The 20,629-nt window shown below is 42.0% G+C and overlaps 1 protein-coding gene across 12 annotated transcripts in view; it reads right to left on the reverse strand.

Moving 5' to 3' along the window:
* The window catches only part of TIAM1 (TIAM Rac1 associated GEF 1), a 440,670-nt gene that overhangs the window by 106,694 nt on the left and 313,347 nt on the right, over positions 1 to 20,629 (reverse strand). For all 12 annotated transcript variants that reach the window (NM_001353690.1, NM_003253.3, NM_001353688.1 and 9 more), the window contains 2 exons: positions 20,377 to 20,549; positions 615 to 839 (listed from right to left, as the gene is read on the reverse strand). In NM_001353690.1, the coding sequence (NP_001340619.1) occupies positions 615 to 839; positions 20,377 to 20,549 (398 nt within the window). The remainder of the gene's footprint in view (positions 1 to 614; positions 840 to 20,376; positions 20,550 to 20,629) is intronic.

Consider the following 20,629-nt stretch of genomic DNA (forward strand, 5'->3'; position numbering starts at 1 on the left):
CAGGCTCAGGCGATCCTCTCCTCTCGGCCTCCTGAGACTACAGTTGCGGCTAATTTTTGTATTTTTTTTGTAGAGATAGGGTTTTGCCATGTTGACCAGGCTGGTCTTGAAATCCTGGGCTCAAGCGAGTATGCCCACCTCAGCCTCCCAAAGTGCTGGGATTACAGGCATGAGCCGCCACACCTGGCCAGATATATATTTTTAATGTACGTTACCTTTTCCAAATTAAGAATTCAAAATTTACTGAGGAGTCAGAAATGAGTCCCCACCATAAGAGAACTCCAAGTCAGTCTGATAACATGGGAAATGAAATTGCAAACTTTCTAATTACACAGATCCCCTAGAAGAGCACATCATTGATGGGGGCCAGGGCTCCTCTACTGGGTTTCTGTCTTTCATTCAATGTAATATTGTTCCGTTTAGCTATTAACAATCAGCTATGAACAAAGGGTGAAGAACACTGACAGTCACAGTAAAGAACTTAGCATCCTGGATGACAGGCTGTCGAGGAGATATCCGATGATGTTTCACGATTCCAAAACAGCAAAAAAAAAAAAAAACCCTTTTAGAGACCTAACAATTTTGTCCGGACCTAAACACGGAAGAACGATTACCTGATCTAATATTGTTTTCTTTTTCTTTGAGTCAGTGACTGAAGACAGCTGCATTTCACCCATTTTCTTCATCTTTTCATCCATGTCAATCTTCTGTTCCAGTTTTTTGATCTCTGATTTCAGGAGTCGGAGCGTGTCTTCCTTGTGGTGGTGCCTCGCGACCGCAGTGGCGCAGGCAGAGTGGATGGCGGTGATCCAGTTTTCAAGCTCCGTCTGGCTAGTGGTCTGTACCAGGAAGAAGGGGCAGGAAGAAAAAGGCACCTCTTAGGAACTTAAGAGAAATGAACCGGAGCATTTCCAGAGAAGCAATGCCTGGGAGTCGAGGTGACAGGTCTAGACACCCATGGATAAGAATAACCTGACCTCCTCTTTCTTCAGGAAATCAGTAACAAAAAGTGAGTCTCAGGTCAGATGCCCACTCTCCCCTCCTCCCTTTCAAGGGCTGTCCTGAATGAAGCCACCATGTCTGCTCACTCAATGTACTTACTGAACTCACTTGTGAAAGTGATACTCCTAACACACAACTTGGTGTCTACTCACGAGGGTTGCTGTGAAGCAAAGGTCAGTTTCCAGATAGGATCGGTCAGTTATAGGACATGAGTGGGACTGAGGGACATTACTGACATAGGAAGCTACAACAGCCCTGCCCCTCGTGAACCACTGCAACCCAAATCCAAAGGTCCTATTCCTGGTGCTAAGCAGCAAGACAGAACTAGGGTTGGGGAAGTGGTCAGGTAGCCAGAAGAAATACCGTCTTTGGGGACTCTATGGAACCCTCTAAGAATTGCAGCCGCCCAACAACACTCCATGTGCTAAAAGTGGCCTGTTTGAGAAGGGCATTAAGAAAATGGTGAGCGACACCCACCAATGGTGACCTGCATGGGATTGGTGTGACTCGGTGTTCTGAAAGGCAAAAGTCAGAATAGTTTTCAAGAGACAGCACATGTGATAACTCGCTATTAATGATTCTTTAGGAATTCAATCAATGAGTTTTTACAAGTGAGGAGATACTGGACTTTTCCAGATACTCTCTTAAGCCCAGAGAGGTGAAACAAATGCTCAGAAGTTAGCCCATCTCAAGAAATAATCTATTCAGCCACTACAATACTAAAGGAGCTACTAACATTATTTTTCATGCACAAAAACACTTCATTGTTTTTTCTCCTTTGAAGCGCCTTCTTAGTTTTCTAACTAATTTGAGTGATGGCTTGTATACAAAATTCTGTGTTTTTTTTTTTTTTTTTTTTTTGAGACAGGGTCGTGCTCTGTTGCCCAGGCTGGAGTGCAGTGGCGCGATCTTGGCTCACTGCAGCCTCTGCCTCCCAGGTCCAAGCAATTCTCATACCTCAGCCTCCCGAGTAGCTGGGACTACAGGTGTGTGCCACCATGCCCGGCTAAGTTTTATATTTTTAGTAGAGACAGGGTTTCACCATGTTGCCTAGGCTGGTCTCGAACTCCTGACCTCAAGTGATCCACCCGCCTCGGCCTCCCAAAGTGCTGGGATTACAGATGTGAGCCATCTTGCCCAGCCACTTGTAAACAACATTCTATTAACAGGAACCCACCAGCACATGACACTGTGCTGGCTGGCAGCTGGAATTTAAGTCAAGATAGTACTTTATCTTTATTATTTCTGAATCTGATCAGTTTTGTATTCCACAGAAGAAACAGCATCAAATATTAAAAATGGTGTCAGCCAACAAAGTCACCTCCCACTGGGCAAACCTAACTGGTCCAGCAGTTGTTATGTGGATAACAAATATTTTGCCTGTGGATAAACATTTCAATATGCTAGACAATCTGAAGAAGAAACAGCAGAAGTACCACCTGATAAAGCAAATGGAATCACTTTGTAAAGACTGAGTGGGAGGAGGAGAGGCGATAAAGAAACCGGAAGCCACAGGTGAGGACTTGTAGATTGAGAAACTTAGGAGGAAAAATGCATGTCTATTTATGAGATTAAATTTGCTTCACTTTATTTTATAGTTGTCTCCTCTTTGCAGGTCATTATCTTATAGTTTGTCCTTACATATCATCCTGAAGTTCCACCAGAAAAAGAGAGGCTCTCCTGCATCTAATGAGAGCACCAAGCTTGCTCCTGCTGATGTACTGTACAAAGCTTGATCATTGGATCTCCCAGTGCCTCACAATAAATGGGTATCTCGTTAGGTGGGGTTATACTCCCAGCCCTTTTTTTTGAGACGGAGTCTGTCTGTCACCAGGCTGGAGTGCAGTGGCGCGATCTCAGTTCACTGCAACCTCCGCCTCCCGAGTTCAAGTGATTCTCCTGCCTCAGCCTCCCGAGTAGCTGGGACTACAGGCATGTGCCACCACGCCCAGCTAATTTTTGTATTTTTTTTTTTTTTTAGTAGAGATGGGGTTTCACCACGTTGGCCAGGATGGTCTCAATCTCTTGACCTCATGATCCGCCTGCCTCAGCCTCCCAAAGTGCTGGGATTACAGGTGTGAGCCACCATGCCCGGCCTCCTTTTTTTAAAAAAAAAAAAAAAAAAAAAAAAAAAAAAAAAAAAAAAGGAAGGAAAAAAAGAATCCAAGATGAAAATACCCAGTGTTGGCAAAGATATGGAGTAACCAGAACTCCTATGCACTGCTGGCCACTGGCTGGAAAGTAAACTTGTACAACTGCTTTAGAAAGCTGTTGGATATTACCTACTAAAGTTGAATATATGCATACCCTGTGACCCAGAAAATGCACTCTGGGTACACACTCAAGAGAAATGCACTCATATGCACACGAAAATATACACACAAGAACATGCCCAGCAGCAAATCATGGGTGAAACTGGACACCATCCAGGTGCCACCAATAGGGGAATGGATGAATATGTGGGATAATCACACAATGAAATACTATACAGCAAGAATGAAGGACCTATAACTATAGATTAACACATATAAACTGGGCACACATCTTGTTGGGGAAGGAATCAGATGCACTGCAGTATATACTGTAGGATTCTATTTATATAAAGTATTGTATTAGTCCATTCTCATGCTGCTAACAAAGACATATCCAAGACTGGGTAATTTATAAAGGAAAGAAGTTTAATTGACTCACAGTTCAGCATGGCTGAGGAGGCCTCAGGAAACGTACAATCATGGCAGAAAGGGAAGCAAACACGTCCTTCTTCTCACGGTGGCAGCGAGGAGAAGTGCAGAACAAAGCAGGGGGGAAAGCCCCTTATAAAACCATCAGATCTAGTGAGAACTCACTCACTTTCACAAGAACAGTATGGAGGTAACCGCCCCCATGATTCAATTACCTTCCAATGGGTCCCTCCCACGACAAGTGGGGATTATGGGAACTACAATTCAAGATGAGATTTGGGTGGGGGCACAGCCAAACCATATCAAGTATCAACACAGATAAACTAATATACAGTATTAGAAGTTGAGAGGGCAGGTTTTTTTGGTGGGATGAGATGCAATGGGTAGAATCTGGTAAGAAGCACAGTAAGGTTTCTGGAGTGCTGGCCACCTTCTGTTTCTTCATCTGGGTGCTAGTTACATGGTGCTGGGTGCTGGTGTATGACAGGGGTGTGTTCAGTTTGTTAAACACCATCAAAATGTGCCTTTTCTGTGTATACGTTAAACTATCATAGAAAGTTTCAAAGAACATCCTTCCAAGGTATATTATCCTAATATTTGAGTATAATTTTTCTATAACTATGCTAAAAATATGATACCTCATATTCCGGTTTTCATTAAAAACTGTCCTTACAAAACTACAAAGGAAGTTCCAAAAAGCTTCACCCTTCTCCACCATTTATTTCTTTGTCCTCCCAAGTGCCTGGTAGTACCTGATAAAAAGCTGGTTCCTTGACCCGAAACATGCTTTCCATTTTGTTTGTATCGCTCAGTGGAAATGAGGAGCTTTTAGATTTTAGGGGAGTTCGTGTCTTCACCCCCCCTTTTTTTTTTGAGATGGAATCTTTCTCTGTTGCCCAGGCTGGAGTGCAGTAGCAGTGCAATCTCGGCTCACTGCAACCTCCGCCTCCCAAGTTCAAGAGATTCTCCTGCCTCAGCCTCCCGAGCAGTTGGAATTACAGGCACCTGCCACCATGCCCAGCTAATTTTTGTACTTTTAGTAGAGATGAGGTTTCTCCATGTTGGCCAGGCTGGTCTCGAACTCCTGACCTCAGGTGATCCACCCGCCTCGGCCTCCCAAACTGCTGGGATTACAAGCGTGAGCTACCGCGCCCGGCCATCTTCACCCATTTTTAAAGGATAATGTGTGGGCATCCAGATGCAATCCCTGCAGAGGCGCACGCAGCACTAAGGAGAGGCTATGGTTCCTGCACAAACACCTGGCAGGTGGAAGCTCAGGGGCGGTCCACATCCATATCTTCAAGGCAAACCTCTCTCATCTCTGCCTCAGTTAGAACCTCCCAGCCCCTACCCTCACCCCCTAACTCACAGAGTAAGAAAAGGAAATACCTACAACCCTGACATAATACCTGAGTAATGGATAGAAAGATCTGAAATTTCTGACAGCAAGCTCGGCTGAATATATGTTATGAACTTAAGAATTTAAATAAAAATATTTATCCAGAAGGGACTCAGATGACCATTTTTCACAGATGGAGGAAAAAAGCCCAGAAAAATTAGGAAGAACACAGTCATTTATTATAAATCCCAATCTCCACCAACCCTGTTCTTAAAAAAAAAAAAAGTTTTGGTTCTGTTTTTTCCTTGTTTAATATGACATACTGATCCTGACCCCCAGCTCTTGTTAATTGCTCTGAAAGCCAGGCTGCAGAGTCACAAGCATTACCCATTCGATAATTATTATTTTTTAGACAGAATCTCACTCTGTTGCCCAGGCTGGAGTGCCTGGGCATGATCTCAGCTCACTGCCACCTCCGCCTCCTGGGTTCAAGTGGTTCTCCTGCCTCAGCCTCCCTAGTCCCTAGCTGGGACTACAGGCTACTAGGGAGCCACACACCCAGCTAGTTTTTTGTATTTTTAGTAGAGACAGGGTTTCACCATGTTGGCCAGTCTGGTCTTGAACTCCTGACCTCAAGTGATCCGCCAGCCTCAGCCTCCCAAAGTGCTGGGATTACAGGCGTACACCACCAAGCCCAGGTAATTTTTGTATTTTTAGTAGAGAGGGGTTTCACCGTGTTGGCCAGGGTGGTCCTAAACTCCCGACCTCAGATGATCACCCTGCCTCGGCCTCCCAAAGTGCTGGGATTACAGGCATGACCATTCAATATTTTGAGCTCTTCTCATTCTAGGAATATGGGAGAATAGAACTTTCTGGCCCCCTCTGAAGCCAGGCATGGCCATGGCACTTGGCTTTGGCCAGTAAAATGTGAGTAGAAGTGACATCACTGCTCAACAAAAGCCTGATTCGCCCCATTCTTGCCCCGTTGCCACGGTCACAGAAGCACTGTGTCAAGATAGAGCTTCTGTCTGCCTGGATCCATAAGAGTCTAGGATGAGTACGGCTCTGGAGCCAGCCTCGATCATGCCAGGAAGGAGAAAGCATGTTAAGCCGCTGAGATTTAAGTGCTCCTTTCTTCAGCCTAATTCTATCCATCCTGACTGATCTACCAGCAAAGTAAGAATTCCACTGCAAAACAGGGGATGCCTCAAACATAACGGAGTCTGTGTAGTGCACTTGGAACCCCAAGAAAGACCATAATCTGATATGTTCTGTGGAACTGCAGCCTTTTGCTCTCCTTATTTAATGAAAGTGGGTCTTCTTTCCCCTGTGAGGACCCCAGCCCAATTCAGCCAATAGCAACACAATCCATTCTGATGTCAGAGAGTTCACGTTTGTCTTCCACGTAAGAAGGAAAAACGAAGGAAGCTGACCAAAGTTAAACACCCTTTGAATGGTATATATTTAATTTCGGCAAAGCAGCTATCCTGGAACTTATAAAGAAAGACAGTGGTTGCTAGGGGCCGGAGTGAAGGGGATATGGAATGTTGTTATGTAATGGGGACCGCATTTAAGCTTTGCATGATGAAAAAGAGTTATGGGCCAGGCGGAATGGTTCATGCCTGTAGTCCCAGCACTTTGGGAGGCCAAGGTGGGCGAATCACTTCAGGCCAGGAGTTCGAGACCAGCCTGAGCATGGTGAAACCCCGTCTCTACTAACAATACAAAAATTAGCTGGGCATGGTGGCACATGCCTGTAGTCCTAGCTACTCGGGAGGCTGAGGCACAAAATCGCTTGAACCCGGGAGGCGGAGGTTGTAGTGAGCTGAGATTATGCCACAGTACTCTACCCTGGGCAACAGAGAGAAACTCCATCTCACAAAAAAAAAAAGTTCTGGCGATGAATAATGGTGATAGTTGCACAACAGGGTAAATGTACTTAACGTCACTCAACTGTCCACTTAAAAATGCCTAGATGGTAAATTTTATGTGTGGTGTACCTCAATTTAAAAGAAAAAATAATTATAAAATAAAAAAAGCATAACAATCCCCAAAACCTAGAGAAGCATATATAGAAATGTGTGATGACAGCTGCATGAAACATTTAGCCATCAGCCCTTTTAACTATTAAGTATGCCTCAGCCCCCCAAACTTTTTAAAAACCTGTCAATGGCTGAAGGCAGTTCCATTAGAGAGAACTTTTGCTCCCACTGTCTTGTCTAAATAAAGCAACAGTCCCTACCATTCTCTATCATGAAGCCAAATCAATTTCTCAGAAGGACAATTCAATAAATGAGCTTTTCTGCAGTTTGTCCCTTTGCAGTGGCACACAGGGAGCTATGTGTCCACAAGAGGAGACGAACTCTCCACTGACTGCTTTCAAAAGCTAGTTGGGTGGAGAAAAAGTCTTGCAACATTTCATGACCATTTACTGGCTTAACACCTCAACTGCTCACAGTGGACTCCTGACCTGACACAATGTTGTTCCTCAAGGTCTCTCCAGGATTTAAATTCTGACATGCTAGAAAAAGCCATCCGAAGCCACTAACCTTGCCTCCCCTTCTTGAACCGGGCAAGGTTAGTTAGGGACATCAGATTCATGATGGGTCCCTTCGTCAGAATTCAGAGGCCAAGAAGGCAGGAAGGAGAGACCACCCAATGGTGCCCTCTCAACTTGTTAACCACAAATCACCTTCCATTAAACAAACAGCAGCAGACAGGTAAAGAGAGAGGGAATTCTGTGATTCTTCCTTTGCCTTCTGGAGATGCTATAAATACTGTATACAGTTCGGTGAAGGGAATAAGCAAAGTTCTTGCCAACAGACAAATATAATCAGCAAAAAAATGCATTTTGCATAACAGCCCCTTTGAGTGCAGAGATAAGATGAAGCTCAGGACTTCATTATGTATTTAAATAGATCCAGCTTCAACTATCCAATGGCATGGAGGACACTTGGTGATTTCAGATAATCAATGGTTTACGTAAGTGGCAGGAAAAGGGAAATTCATTTTAAACACGAGAAATACTAGGGAATATATGCCAAATCTAGGAAACTAAAATTTGAGATAATTCAAGTTTATAGAAGCACAAGAATAATTGTAAAGTAGGTCAAACGCTTTCATTTTAAAAGAAAAAAAAAGAAAGTTACCATTTTTTAAGAGGCTAGATAGGAATAAAGCTCCAGTGTGAATTCTGAAAAGGCTTTTTTCTTGTTGATTCTATACTCATCATATTTTGTTTACATAAGACTTATTTAAGCTATTATTTTTAATATCTGTAAAGAGAACTTAAGGCCAGGCATGGTGGCTCACGCCTGTAATCCCAGCACTTTGGGAGGCTGAGGTGAGATCACTTGAGATCAGGAGTTCAAGATCATCCTGACCAACATGGTGAAAGTCCATCTCTACTAAAAATACAAAAATTAGCCAGGTGTGGTGGTGCATGCCTGTAAACTAAGCTACTTGGGAGGCTGAGGCAGGAGAATTGCTCGAACCTGGGAGGCAGAGGATGCAGTGAGCCAAGATGGCGCCACTGCACTCCAGCCTGGGCAACAAGAGCGAGACTCCGTCTCAAAAAAAGACAACTTTAAATTTGAGGTTTCCCTCCCCCACTGAAAATGGTGATATAATGGATCCCTCTCACCCTCACCCACGCCGGGTTCATTCTTTGGAGAAGAAAGGAAGCTCTGGACTCCAGGAAGACAGACACAAGGAAAACAGGGACCGTGCGCTGCAAAGAGGCGAACAGATGGCAGCCTGCCTGAGGAAGGGCAGTGGCAGGATTCATCTCTGGCAAAGCTCAGTCGCCTCCAAGAAAAGACTCACAAATAATCGTCAACCGGAGTCTCTCCACAAGGCCGCTTACTGTCTGTCCATGCTATGAAAGGTCCCAGTACTTCTAATGTGCACAGATGATATAAGCAGCTTTTTCATATCTCACATGTAAATATGACCAGTCAAGGATCACCAGACATTTGCTGAAAGCCCCCAGCATGAAAGGCAGAGACTAAAGCACACAGGAGAAAATGTACTAGGAGAAAGGAGAAGCCATGCCTGAAACAGAGAAAGCTTCCCTAAAATCTACACAACCCTTGGAGATGCAAGGGAATCTAAAACTATAAACAAGTGAACAAAAAGTACAGGTTACAATAAAAAGGAACAATGAGACTGAAAAGAGAGCAGGAGAGGGGAAGGGAGGGAGGGAAGGAGGAAGGGAGAGAGGAGGTGGGGAAGGAAGGAAGGAAGGAAGGGAGGGAGGGAGGGATGAAGGGAAGGTGGGAGAGAAAGCTTCTTTTAGGAATTAAAAAAAAATAACCAAAATTAAAATGTCAATAGAAGGAAATCACTATGAAGGATCAGAACACCAGCAAGGTGCAGTGGCTTAAACCTGTAATCTCAGCACTTCGGGAGGCTGAGGCAGGTGGATCACTTGACCCCAGGAGTTCAAGACCAGCCTAGGCAACATGGCAAAACCCCGTCTCTACAAAAACCACAAAAATTAGCAAAGCATGGTGGTGTGCACCTGTCATCCCAGATATTCGAGAGGCTGAGGTGGGAGAACCACCTGAGCCTTGGGAGGCTGAGGCTGCAATCAGCCATGATTATACCACTGCACTCCAGCCTGGGCGACAGAGTGAGACCCTGTCTCCAAAAAAAAAGAGAAGAAATTGTGCTTGCTTTGGCAGCATATATACTAAAAAAGGATCAGAACACCAGTGATAAGGAAATGATGCTAAAGAGAAAAAAAGAAAATAAAACACAAACATGCTAATCAGAAATGGGAACATAATCAGAAAATAATTAAACCAAGGGGAAATGATCTCCAAGCCAAAATTCCAAATTACTCAAATATTATGCAAGTAAAAGGTAGAATGAAGACATTTTTAAATGTGCATCATTTTATAAGAAGTTACTCCAGGTTATTTTCATGAAAACGAAGCAGCTGGTAATTCTACAGAGGCTGTTGTACATGAGGCCCGGAGAGCAGCCATATGGGAGCAGGACAATGTGCCAGGGGAGGGCAGGCTTCAAAGGAAAACATCAATGATGAACAAGCTAACATGCTGGAGATTTAGAAAATATCACTGCCACATAACCAGGAAAATAAGCAATATGAGCCTTCCTCCCAAAAAAAGGGGGCAGTCATTAACTACAGAAAAAAAAATTAAGAAATTATTACAGAAAAGAAATAAGATCACAGTACACTACTTGACTCAGCAGCCAATACTATTTATATGGTCATAACAATGTAATAACACTGATTAGTGCTTTAATCCTAAATGTTCATATACCTATATGGGAAGATGAGGAAAGAAGAATTTATAGCTAACACAGCTAAATGTTCATCTATCATAATAGAAAGTCAGTAGTATCTAAAATCCATTAGAAACAGCAGTATAAACATGTTAATGAGGGCAAATACAAGAAAACAAAAACATCAGCTAAAGTAGTTTTGTATCGTTGCTTCTAGGGAATAAGCCTCATGAGGCGAAGAGGGCAAAAGGAGGAAAATAATTTCACTTTAAGCCTTTTAATGTTAGCTGAATTCTTTTAAACTATGCTGATATTGATTTAATACAAATTTAAACTAATGTAAGAAAAGGAAGAATACAGTTAGTAACATAATTTGCATGATACATAACAGTATAGAAATTGTATAGGAAGATCTAGCTCAACCACAATTATACCTCTGCAGTGTGGGGAAACCTCTGAGGCACCCACAAGAAGGCATAAAATCTAGCTGATTTCCAGCCTTGTATATTCATTTTGCACTTCAACATCCACATTCTCCATTAATAGTCTCCTAAGAGGTAGGCAAGTGGGGCCCCTGCCAGGGCTCTGCACCTCAGGAGGTCCCATAGTTTGGAGGGCTTTTCTTGAAATTTTCCAAGTCTCCCTCTGTCTCCTGGAAAGGGGAGGTTTCAGGAGGTTTCTCCCCTTCAGGGAGCTCTCTCACCCTGTACCAGCTATTCAGTGTCAAAAAGATGCCCGAAGCTCTTGAACTTGAGTCTGTGGCTAGTGAGTCGCACCCACCAGACCGTGTGGTATTTCTTTCACCAGATTGCTTGAGATTGGGCCACCAGAATGGTGCTGACAGTTGATCCGGAGTGAGCCAAATTCTTTATATAGATAAAGCCTCCATAAAAAAATATTTGCCTGGGGCTCCACATATCCTAGAGTTGGCCCTTCACAACTAATCCATGCCAAAATCAAAGGTAAATATTTCTACAGTGGCTGGCTAGGGGCAGGGATATAATCTACGGTGTGGGGAAAACAGGACTTAGCTACAGACTAAGTCAACACGGAAACCAACAAAGAGAATGAAGACCTCGCACTCAGCTTGTCATATCAGTGGATAATGTGAAGTTAAGAGGAATATAAACACCAGGGAAGATCAAATAAGGATCCCAGAGGATTTCAACAGTTTATTAGAAGGATAAAAGCCACAAGGATAACATATCAAAGAGGTACATTTAAGTTCTGAGTTGGGTTTTTGAAAAAAAAATCTATTAAAATAAGATGGGGAAGGCCTTGTTGGGTAAGAATTGATGTTGAGGGTTTAAGATACCACGAGCTCAGTCTGAGTCAACAGTTTGATGTGGCTTTTAATAAAAGGAATTGACTCTAGAGGAAACAAGGACAACGGGAACCTCACTGCAGCCTGCATGGGGCAGACCACACAGAGGCTCACACAGGATGCTGAGCGCCTGGGCACGCTTACAAGTAAGAACAGGGAGAATGGCTTGGGAACCTTAGGCAGGGTTGCCCAAAGAGACGTGGCAGGAGGTAAATGAAAGCCGTTTTTAAGTATTTAAAAGGTGATGAGTAAGGATAAGCAGAAGACTTGCACAGGACTCTGTGGGTGAATATAGAAACAAAGAGAAATGGCAAGACTCACCAGAAAGAACATATTATCTCAACATGATGAAGAACTTTCTAGGACTTAGGGCTGACTAACAAAACCGATGGTTGAAAGCTGGGAGATCTCCAGGAATGGGAGAGGCTGCCCAGTGGGCAGGCTCACCTGTTGGCCAGGGTCTTGCAGGGACCATACCTCCTTTGAGAGGGGCACTGGGTCAAGATGCCAAATCCCCATTAAAGTCTCTTCTACCACAAGTCCACTTGACACCTCCTTATGAAAGATGATTTACAGGTTTTTCCCTAACCTGGCTGCCCTTGTCCAGGGCATGTGGCCATGACCTTCCTCAAGTCTGACACACACAGCTAGACATGGCTTCCAAGGTAGTTCTCTTGAGCCTGACGAAACTCAAGACCTTAGCCTTTTCACAGTGAAGCCACACTTAATTTTTGTAAAGATGCTTATTTAAGAGGAGCCCATGGAACTAGTCTTTTTTTCTTTATTACTAAAATGGTAACTGTTAAGCATTTGCTATCTATCAGACACTTACCATCATTATCACACTTAATCTTCAACTCAACTTAATGGCATATGAGTCTTTTAATATGCATACAATACCCTTGCACAAGTGACTTTCTAAATGATGAGAAAACTTTCTATGGGAAGAAAAGGCAATCAATTCCTAGAGATAACATTTTCTATACCCCTTTAGATATATAACTGCATATGATTTTCTACTCTATTGTCTTTCTTATTTGCCTGGTAGCTGTGTTCCCAAGGCATTTAACAGACAAATTAATAACTAATATTAGGATATGTTACCATAAAGGTGGGTGAGCTTTTTGGAATTGTATGTGACATCCTAAGGTAATGAATGAATGAAGGCCCAATAGGAAATTGTACTTTGTAGGTGGTAGGTACTGTCTCTGGCTTCAAGTTGAAGGAAAGAACTTAAATTAAAATAGTGCAGACAGCATAGCACTTCTTCCATATACATGACTCCAACATTCCTGCTCATTCCCACTCTCCCCTGGCCTCACACATATAAATTCCTTTTCTACTTTTGTTGGTAACATGAATCTCCTTTCCATGGGTGAATCTGTGGGTATTTGAGTAACAGTGTCAAATCAGCAGCACACAGGCTCTGGAAACTGTGTGCACTGAATTGAGCCCTGGGGCTGGAATAACCTACACATTACTTCCATAATCATGGCTGATTGCCTGTGCTTTAGCCTCACCCCTACACAAACAGGTTTCATTCTGATTCGGCTGCTCCAGAGTTACATGGATTTATAATAAGCAGAAGGCAGAGAATGCCTTCATGGTATCCAAACAGCAGTAATTTCCTCCAAAAGCTTCCTTTTGTGCTCTATCCCTCATAAATGGCATAAAGCTTTCACCATAGCAAGAAGACACAAAGGTTTTCAAAACTAAGATCCTACGTTGTCACATATAAAAAAGTTTACCTCATGTGATCTATTGGGTATTTACATTCTACTAGCAATTTTATGGCCATGAAGTTCCTTTCAAAAGGAATTCACATCAGAAATGTGTAAGTTAAAAAGAAAACCTTCTGATTCCACTTGAGGGTTAAAAAAAATTTTTAAGGGAACCTTTCTGAAATCCATCTGAGAATCATCTAACCTGTGTAGTGAGGCAAGAATAACCAAAATCAGGTTTCACTTTAGAAATATTTCCAATGAGTAGCTTAATTGTAGGAATGAGAAAAAGCTAGTCACTTTTTACTGTAGCCACTGACTCTTGCCCACGTTCTTCTTAGGGTCAACAGTAATAGGACAAATAGTATACTCAGACAATAAAAGGCTTTGGAGAAACATAGGCTTGATTTGAGTTGAGTTTGGGTCCAATTACTAGCTTTTGTAAGCCTCGACTTCAACAAATGGGGTATACAACACACATCAATGGATTAAAATGTGGATACATAATCCAACTAACTACTGCTCTAAGAATTACATGTGACTCACATTAAGATGGTGGTATACAATAAGGGCTAAGTAAAACATAGCCACCGATCTCACAATAATGTTACTGTTGCTGTCAGGTAGTTAGACATTTCCTCATTTGCAAGATTTCCAATTAACAAATAAAAACCATGTCAGATGCAGAAAAACAATTTTTTTTTTTTTTAAGATAGGGTCTCGCTCTGCCACCCAGGCTGGAATGCAATGGTGCAACCACGGCTCACTGCAGCCTTGACCTCCTTGGTGCAAGTGATCCTCCCACCTCAGCCTCTCAACTAGCTGGGACTACAGGTACATGCCATCGTGTCCAGCTAATTTTTTTTATTTTTATTTTTTGGTAGAGACAGGGTCTTTCCATGTTGTCTAGGCTGGTCACAACCTCCTGGGCTCAGTGATCTGCCTGCCTTGGCCCCCCAAAGTGCTGAGATTACAGGCATGAGCCACCATGCCCAGCCAAAACAATTATTTATAACATATATACAAGAAAATTTTCATGACATTATAGCATGTAGATTTAAAAAATAAGACACTCAAAGCATTACCCATTAAGGAAGGCTTAAGAAGTGAGAATGGGCTACAATTAAGTTTCACTGCAACAAATGACACCATTAAGAGAGTAAAAAGCAAGCCACAGAGTAGAAAAAGATACTTGCAATGAATATAATCAACAGCGATGATATACAAAATACACAAAGAGCTGCCATAAATCATTAACAAAGAAACTCTGATGGAAAAAAAATGGACAAGAGAGTAAAATAAGCACTTCACAAAAGATGATATTGAAATGGTCATTAAGCGCATGAATATGTGCTCAATTTCATATTAATATCTTAAAAAGGATTTTAAAAAATCTCAGTATCAAGTTTGCAAAGATGAGGAATAACTAGAATTCTCCTAGGCTGCTAATGAGAGTATAAATTACATTAATCATTTTGAAAACTGTTTGGCATATCCTGAATATGTGCCTAACCCATGACCCTGCAATGCCACTCCTAGGTATATATGTTTGTCCAACAGAAATGTGGACAAACATAACCTGAGAACAGGTACAAGAGTGCTCACAACAACATTGCTTGTGATCCTTAACACCTGGGAACAACTCAAATGTACCTATGGAATGGTTGCTATATGTCCCAGTTGGCCTGGGACTGTCCTCGCTTATACCTGGTATACTGGCATAACTGTTAATAGCGTCTACTCTCGAAAGTGTCCTGGTGAATGCCATCAACATCAATGGGGGTTGGGGTGGGGTAGGAGGGTTAAGAACTTCCAAAGAGCCATTCCTTCACAAAAGCAACACGAACAGTGGTAAAAAATGGTCAAAATCAACTTTTTCACAATTCCAGAAATTAATCTAAGTTCTGCAACAATCTAAGCTGCATTTATTAAAGACAAATGGCTGAACTTCAGTAAAAACAGCAAGTTTTGTGATATTTTAAATTGCTCTATTTCCATCTTTTTCTCCTCATCTATACAATCACATGAAAACCAGCTGTGTAGCACCACAGGAGGGAACAACCTTCCTCAAGTCTGACACATGGAACTAAACATGGCATTCCAAGGTAGATCTCTACATCTTCCCCAAAACACCTTTCTCAGAGAACCATCACTAAGCGACCTGTCTAGCAGGTCCCAGAAAAACCTCTTCACGAGCTTGTTGCTATTTGACCTGACTCAGACCTCATTCATGCAAACACTCTTCACTCCAGGGGGTGCTTGTGAAAAACAATTAATGACAATTGTTTAGCACTACAGTCGCCTGAAGCAGTGATAACAGTCGAACAAATAAGAAGTTGACCAAGAAACTTGAGGAAAAGTTGGGGAATACGATTTCCACAAAAGGCTCTGAAAAGCTATGACACAGTCCTTGGAATCTGGAAGGTCACTGATACGGTTTGGCTGTGTCCCCACCTAATCTCATCTTCAATTGTAGTGCCCATAATTCCCACATGTCGTGGAAGGGACCCAGTGGTAGGTAATCAAATCATGGGTGCAGGTCTTTCCATGCTGTTCTCGTGATAGTAAGTCTCATGAAATCTGATGGTTTTATAAAGGGGAGTTCCCCTGCACATGCTCTCTCTTGTCTGCTGCCATGTAAGAAGACTTTGCTCCTCCTTTGCCTTCTGCCATGACGGTGAGGCCTCCCCAGCCATGTGGAACTGTGAGTCCATTAAACCTCTTTTCCTTATAAATTACCCAGTCTCGGGTATGTCTTTATTAGCGGCTAAGAGAGTCACAACACAGTCTTAGTGAATTGACTAATACAGTCACAAATATGTATAAGGCTGTCCACAAGCCCAGATAGTCCCAAGAAGTTCCTAAGCTCACCCTATGACTGACCCTACAGCTCGGTGAAAGCAGAGATGAAGGCTAAGGCAGAGATGAAGCTAGTTGCCTGAGTGTTGATCATGTGCTTGAACTTGCAAACTTCTGTTCTTAGGAAAGACTAGGAAACTTATTGCTTCTGTACTTTTAAGGAAATCTCTCTCTAATAATTAGCTGACTACTAAACTAGCTGAGCAGAGACTTCAGTGGGCACACATAACAAAGCCTAAATATTTCACAGATTTTAAGAAAGTCACTAAACAAAGAAGCACTATCACCACCGATAATCAACAACAATAGCAAATCCTGGAGGATGGGAGGTGGATCTGCTTTCAGAGTTGCCACATTTATATTATTTTAAATGTACAATTTAAACCAAAAAAGTATGAGACATGCAAATAAACAACAAACAACAATAAAGTATGGGCCAGGAATGGTGATTCATGCCTATCATCCCAGTGGGTTGGGAGACCAAAATGGGAAGACTGCTTGAAGCCAAGAGTTTGAGACCAGCCTGGGCAACATAGCAAGATTCTGTCTTTAAAAAATATTTTTAAAAAATCAGCCAGGTGTGGTGGTGTACACCTGTAGTCCCAGCTACTTGAGAGGCTAAGGTGGGAAGATTGCTTGAGTCCAGGAGTTCAAGGTTACAGTGAGCTATGATTGCACCACTGTACTCCAGCCTGGGTAATAGAGCAAGACCCTATCTCTAAAACAATTAAATAAAGTATGGCCCATATATAGAAAAAGAAGTAGTCAATAGAAACTGTCTCAGAAAAGTCCCATGTTGAGTGTACTAGACAAAGATTTCAAGCAACTATTTTGAACGTATTCAAAGAACTAAAATAAACCATGTCTAAAGAAATAAAGTATGAGGCTAATATCACATTAAATAGAGAATATCAATAAGGAAATATAACTTTTGTTTGAAAGAACCAGGCCAGGCACAGTGGCTCATGCCTGTAATCCCAGCACTTTAGGAGGCTGAGGCAGGAAGATCACTTGAGGCCAGGGGTTTGAGACCACCCTGGGCAATAAAGCAAGACCTCCATCTCTACAAAAAAATAGAAAAAATTAGCTGGCTGTGGTGGTGCACACCTGTAGCCCCAGCTATTCAGGAGGCTGAGCTGGGAGGATTGCTCAGCCCAGGAGGCTGAGGCTGCAGTGAGCTGTGATCAGTGCACTACTGACCCTACAGCTCAGTGAAAGCAGAGATGAAGGCTAAGGCAGAGATGGAAGCTAGTTGCCTGAGCGTTGATGATAGGCTTGAACTTGCAAACTTCTGTTCTTAGGAAAGACTAGGAAACTTATTGCTTCTGTACATTTAAGGAAATCTCTTTCTAATAATTACCTGACTACTAAACTAGCTGAGCAGAGACCTGGCAATTTATGAGACATGCAAATAAACAATAAACAACAATAAAGTGGGTTGGGAGACCAAAACAGGAGGACTGCTTCTATTGACATTCTAGTAGTCAATAGAACCTGTCTCAGAAAAGTCAGATCCAAAATCAGTGCACCACTGCACTGCAGCCTGGGGGACAGAACAAGACTCTGTCTCAAAAAAAAAAAAAAAAAAAGAAAAAAGAAAAGAAAAGAAAAAATGACCAGGTGCAGTGGCTCAGGCCTGTAATCCCAGCACTTTGGAAGGCCAAGGCAGGTGGATTACCTGAGGTCAGGAGTTTGAGACCAGCCTGACTAACATGGAGAAACCCCACCTCTACTAGAAAAAAAAATACAAAATTAGCTGGGCTTGGTGGCACATGCCTGTAATCCCAGCTGCTTGGGAGGCTGAGGCAGGAGAATTGCTTGAACGTGGGAGGCAGAGGTTGTGGTGAGCTGAGATTGTGCCATTGCACTCCAGCCTGGGCAACAAAAGCAAAACTTCATCTCAAAAAAAAAAAAAAAAAATATATATATATATATGTATATTTCATATATATGTATATTTTATATATATATAAATATAAAAAAATAAAAATAACCAGAAGAGCTCAACAGCAGATTTGAGTTGGAAGAAAAAAGAATCAGTGAACTTATGACAGATCAAGTGAGATTAAGGAATAGAATGAAAAAAAAATGAACAGAGTCTCAGAGGCTTATGGGACTTCATCAAGCATACTAATGTAAACACAACAGGAGTCACCAAAGGAGTGGAGCAAGATAAATGAGCAGGAAGACTATTTGAAGAAATAATAGCTAAAAACTTTCCAAATGTGATTTAAATACACAAACACATGCACACAAATCTACAGATCCAAAAGACACTACCCCATAAATATATACACATTGTATTTTGTGGCTACTAGTACCCACAACAATTTTTAAAATTTAAAAATATTAAAAGATACATATCTGAAAGACAATAAATTCCAGGTAAAGTAAACTCAAAGAGAATGATACCTAGACACATAATACTCAAACTGTTTAACGACAAAGTCACGATCTTCAAATCAGCAAGGGAGCCTCATAGGATAAACAGCTGATTTTTCATCAAACACCATGAAGGCCAGAAAGCAGTGGGATTTTCAAAGCACTGAAATAAGATGGTCAATTAAGAATTCTATATCCAGCAAAACTATCCTTCAAAAATGAAAGGGAAATTAAGTCATTCCCAGATAAATAAAAGTGTCCTGGCTTGGATGATAAAAGACATACTCAATTCAACTAGTAGGCTGCATTTGTGAGTGGGGTGGGGTTGGGGAAGGTGGCTTAGGTGCCTGAAACTTCTATTTCTTGTCCTGGTTGGTGGTTGCATAATTACTTTATGATAGCTCACTGAGCAGTACACTTATGTTGTGTGCACTCTTCTTTCTGTGTTTTACATCACAGATTTTTAAAAAAGAAAACACAGATGCTTTGTCTTTATATAATCAAAATTAGCACTTTATATTTCTTACTTTAATTGTCCAAATAGAAACAGCTTCTGAAGCCAAAGCCAGAAACTTGGTGAAATAAATGATTTCTTTCCTCTATACCTTTGTTCTAGCCCCCTCCTTGCATGTTATATTCTTACGGTCCTTGTCACGCCATTTATACCTGCTCTTCCTTTAATAGTCATTGGTAGGCTTTACCACATTATAAAGATTTGCTATGTCTGTCCCCTCCGTTATATGTGAACACTTTTAAGAAGACGAACTGTCAGCTGGGCGCAGTGGCTTACACCTGTAATCCCAGCACTTTGGTAGGCCGAGGTGGGTGGATGACCTGAGATCAGGAGTTCGAGACCAGCCTGACCAATATGGTGAAACCCCGTATCTACTGAAAATACAAAAATTAGCCAGGCGTGGCAGCAGGTGCCTATAGTCCCAGCTACTCAAGAGGCTGAGACAGGAGAATTGCTTGAACCTGGGAGGCAGAGATTGCAGGGAGCTGAGATCGTGCCACTGCACTTCCAGCATGGGTGACAAAGCAAGGCTTCATCTCAAAAAAAGAGAGGAACTGTCAAAATCTTCTTAGTATTCTCAATAGCACTATGCAGAGCACATAGGAAGCACAGAATAAAGGTTTGAGAAAATAATTCTTCAATGGAATCAATAAAGAAAGCCTTCCTACATAACAACACAAAAAAGTTCTTGCAGAGTATATTACAACTATTCCAAACTCAAAAGATTCCCTATCAGAAAAATGTTAATCCTGAAGCAGTTAGCAGAGAAGTATTTTTTTTAAAAAATGTTGAAATTCAAGGATGCTGAGTAGAAAGTTCTGATCAGATGAGGAAGAGAAACTGTTTAGGTGATGCCAGTCATTTCTGAGATGTCATTATTTTACTTTATGATTAATATGAGAAAGGAACATATTATAAATAAAACTTTTTGACAGCTCAAATCATGTCTAAAAGAAGAAATTCACGATCCCTTTCTTAAATGCAACAGAAATGGTACTGAGACCACACAAAGATATCCTTCAACTCATGACAAACAGAGCAAGTTTCTCACATCCAACTCATAGCCCTCCTTAGCCTTCACTTGGAAAACTTCTGAATGTACCTACTCCTGGAATTTAATATAGATGTTTATTTTGTCATTCACTGTTTTTGTTTTTATAATGAGCAACAGATTAATCTCACCACTAAAAAAAAAAAAAAAAAAAAAAAAAGCAGTGGAGGGAGACTGGGTGCCTAGGCAAGAAAAGAAGGTAGCCAGTTCAGAGGTTTGAAATGCCCTGCAAAGGAAGTGCCCAACAAACCTGAAAAAGGAAGGCATCACCCAGGGAATTGCTGAGGCAGAAGACAAAGTCCTTCTTGGGGTGCTCAGGCACCGCCTGCACAATGCTGTTCTCCACCCAGACGGCGTGTTTGGGGATGCTGTTGTGGTCTATCCCAGACCTGCCGTCGCTCTCGTAGAAAAATAGCGTGCATCCTGAGGAAACAGAACAGGGGTGTGCATGAGTATTCAGTGCTTGGGAAACAAAAGAACCCACAGTTGAACCTAACATGTGC

The sequence above is a fragment of the Homo sapiens genome, chromosome 21 (genome assembly GCF_000001405.40).
Source record: "Homo sapiens chromosome 21, GRCh38.p14 Primary Assembly".
NCBI lineage: Eukaryota > Metazoa > Chordata > Mammalia > Primates > Hominidae > Homo > Homo sapiens.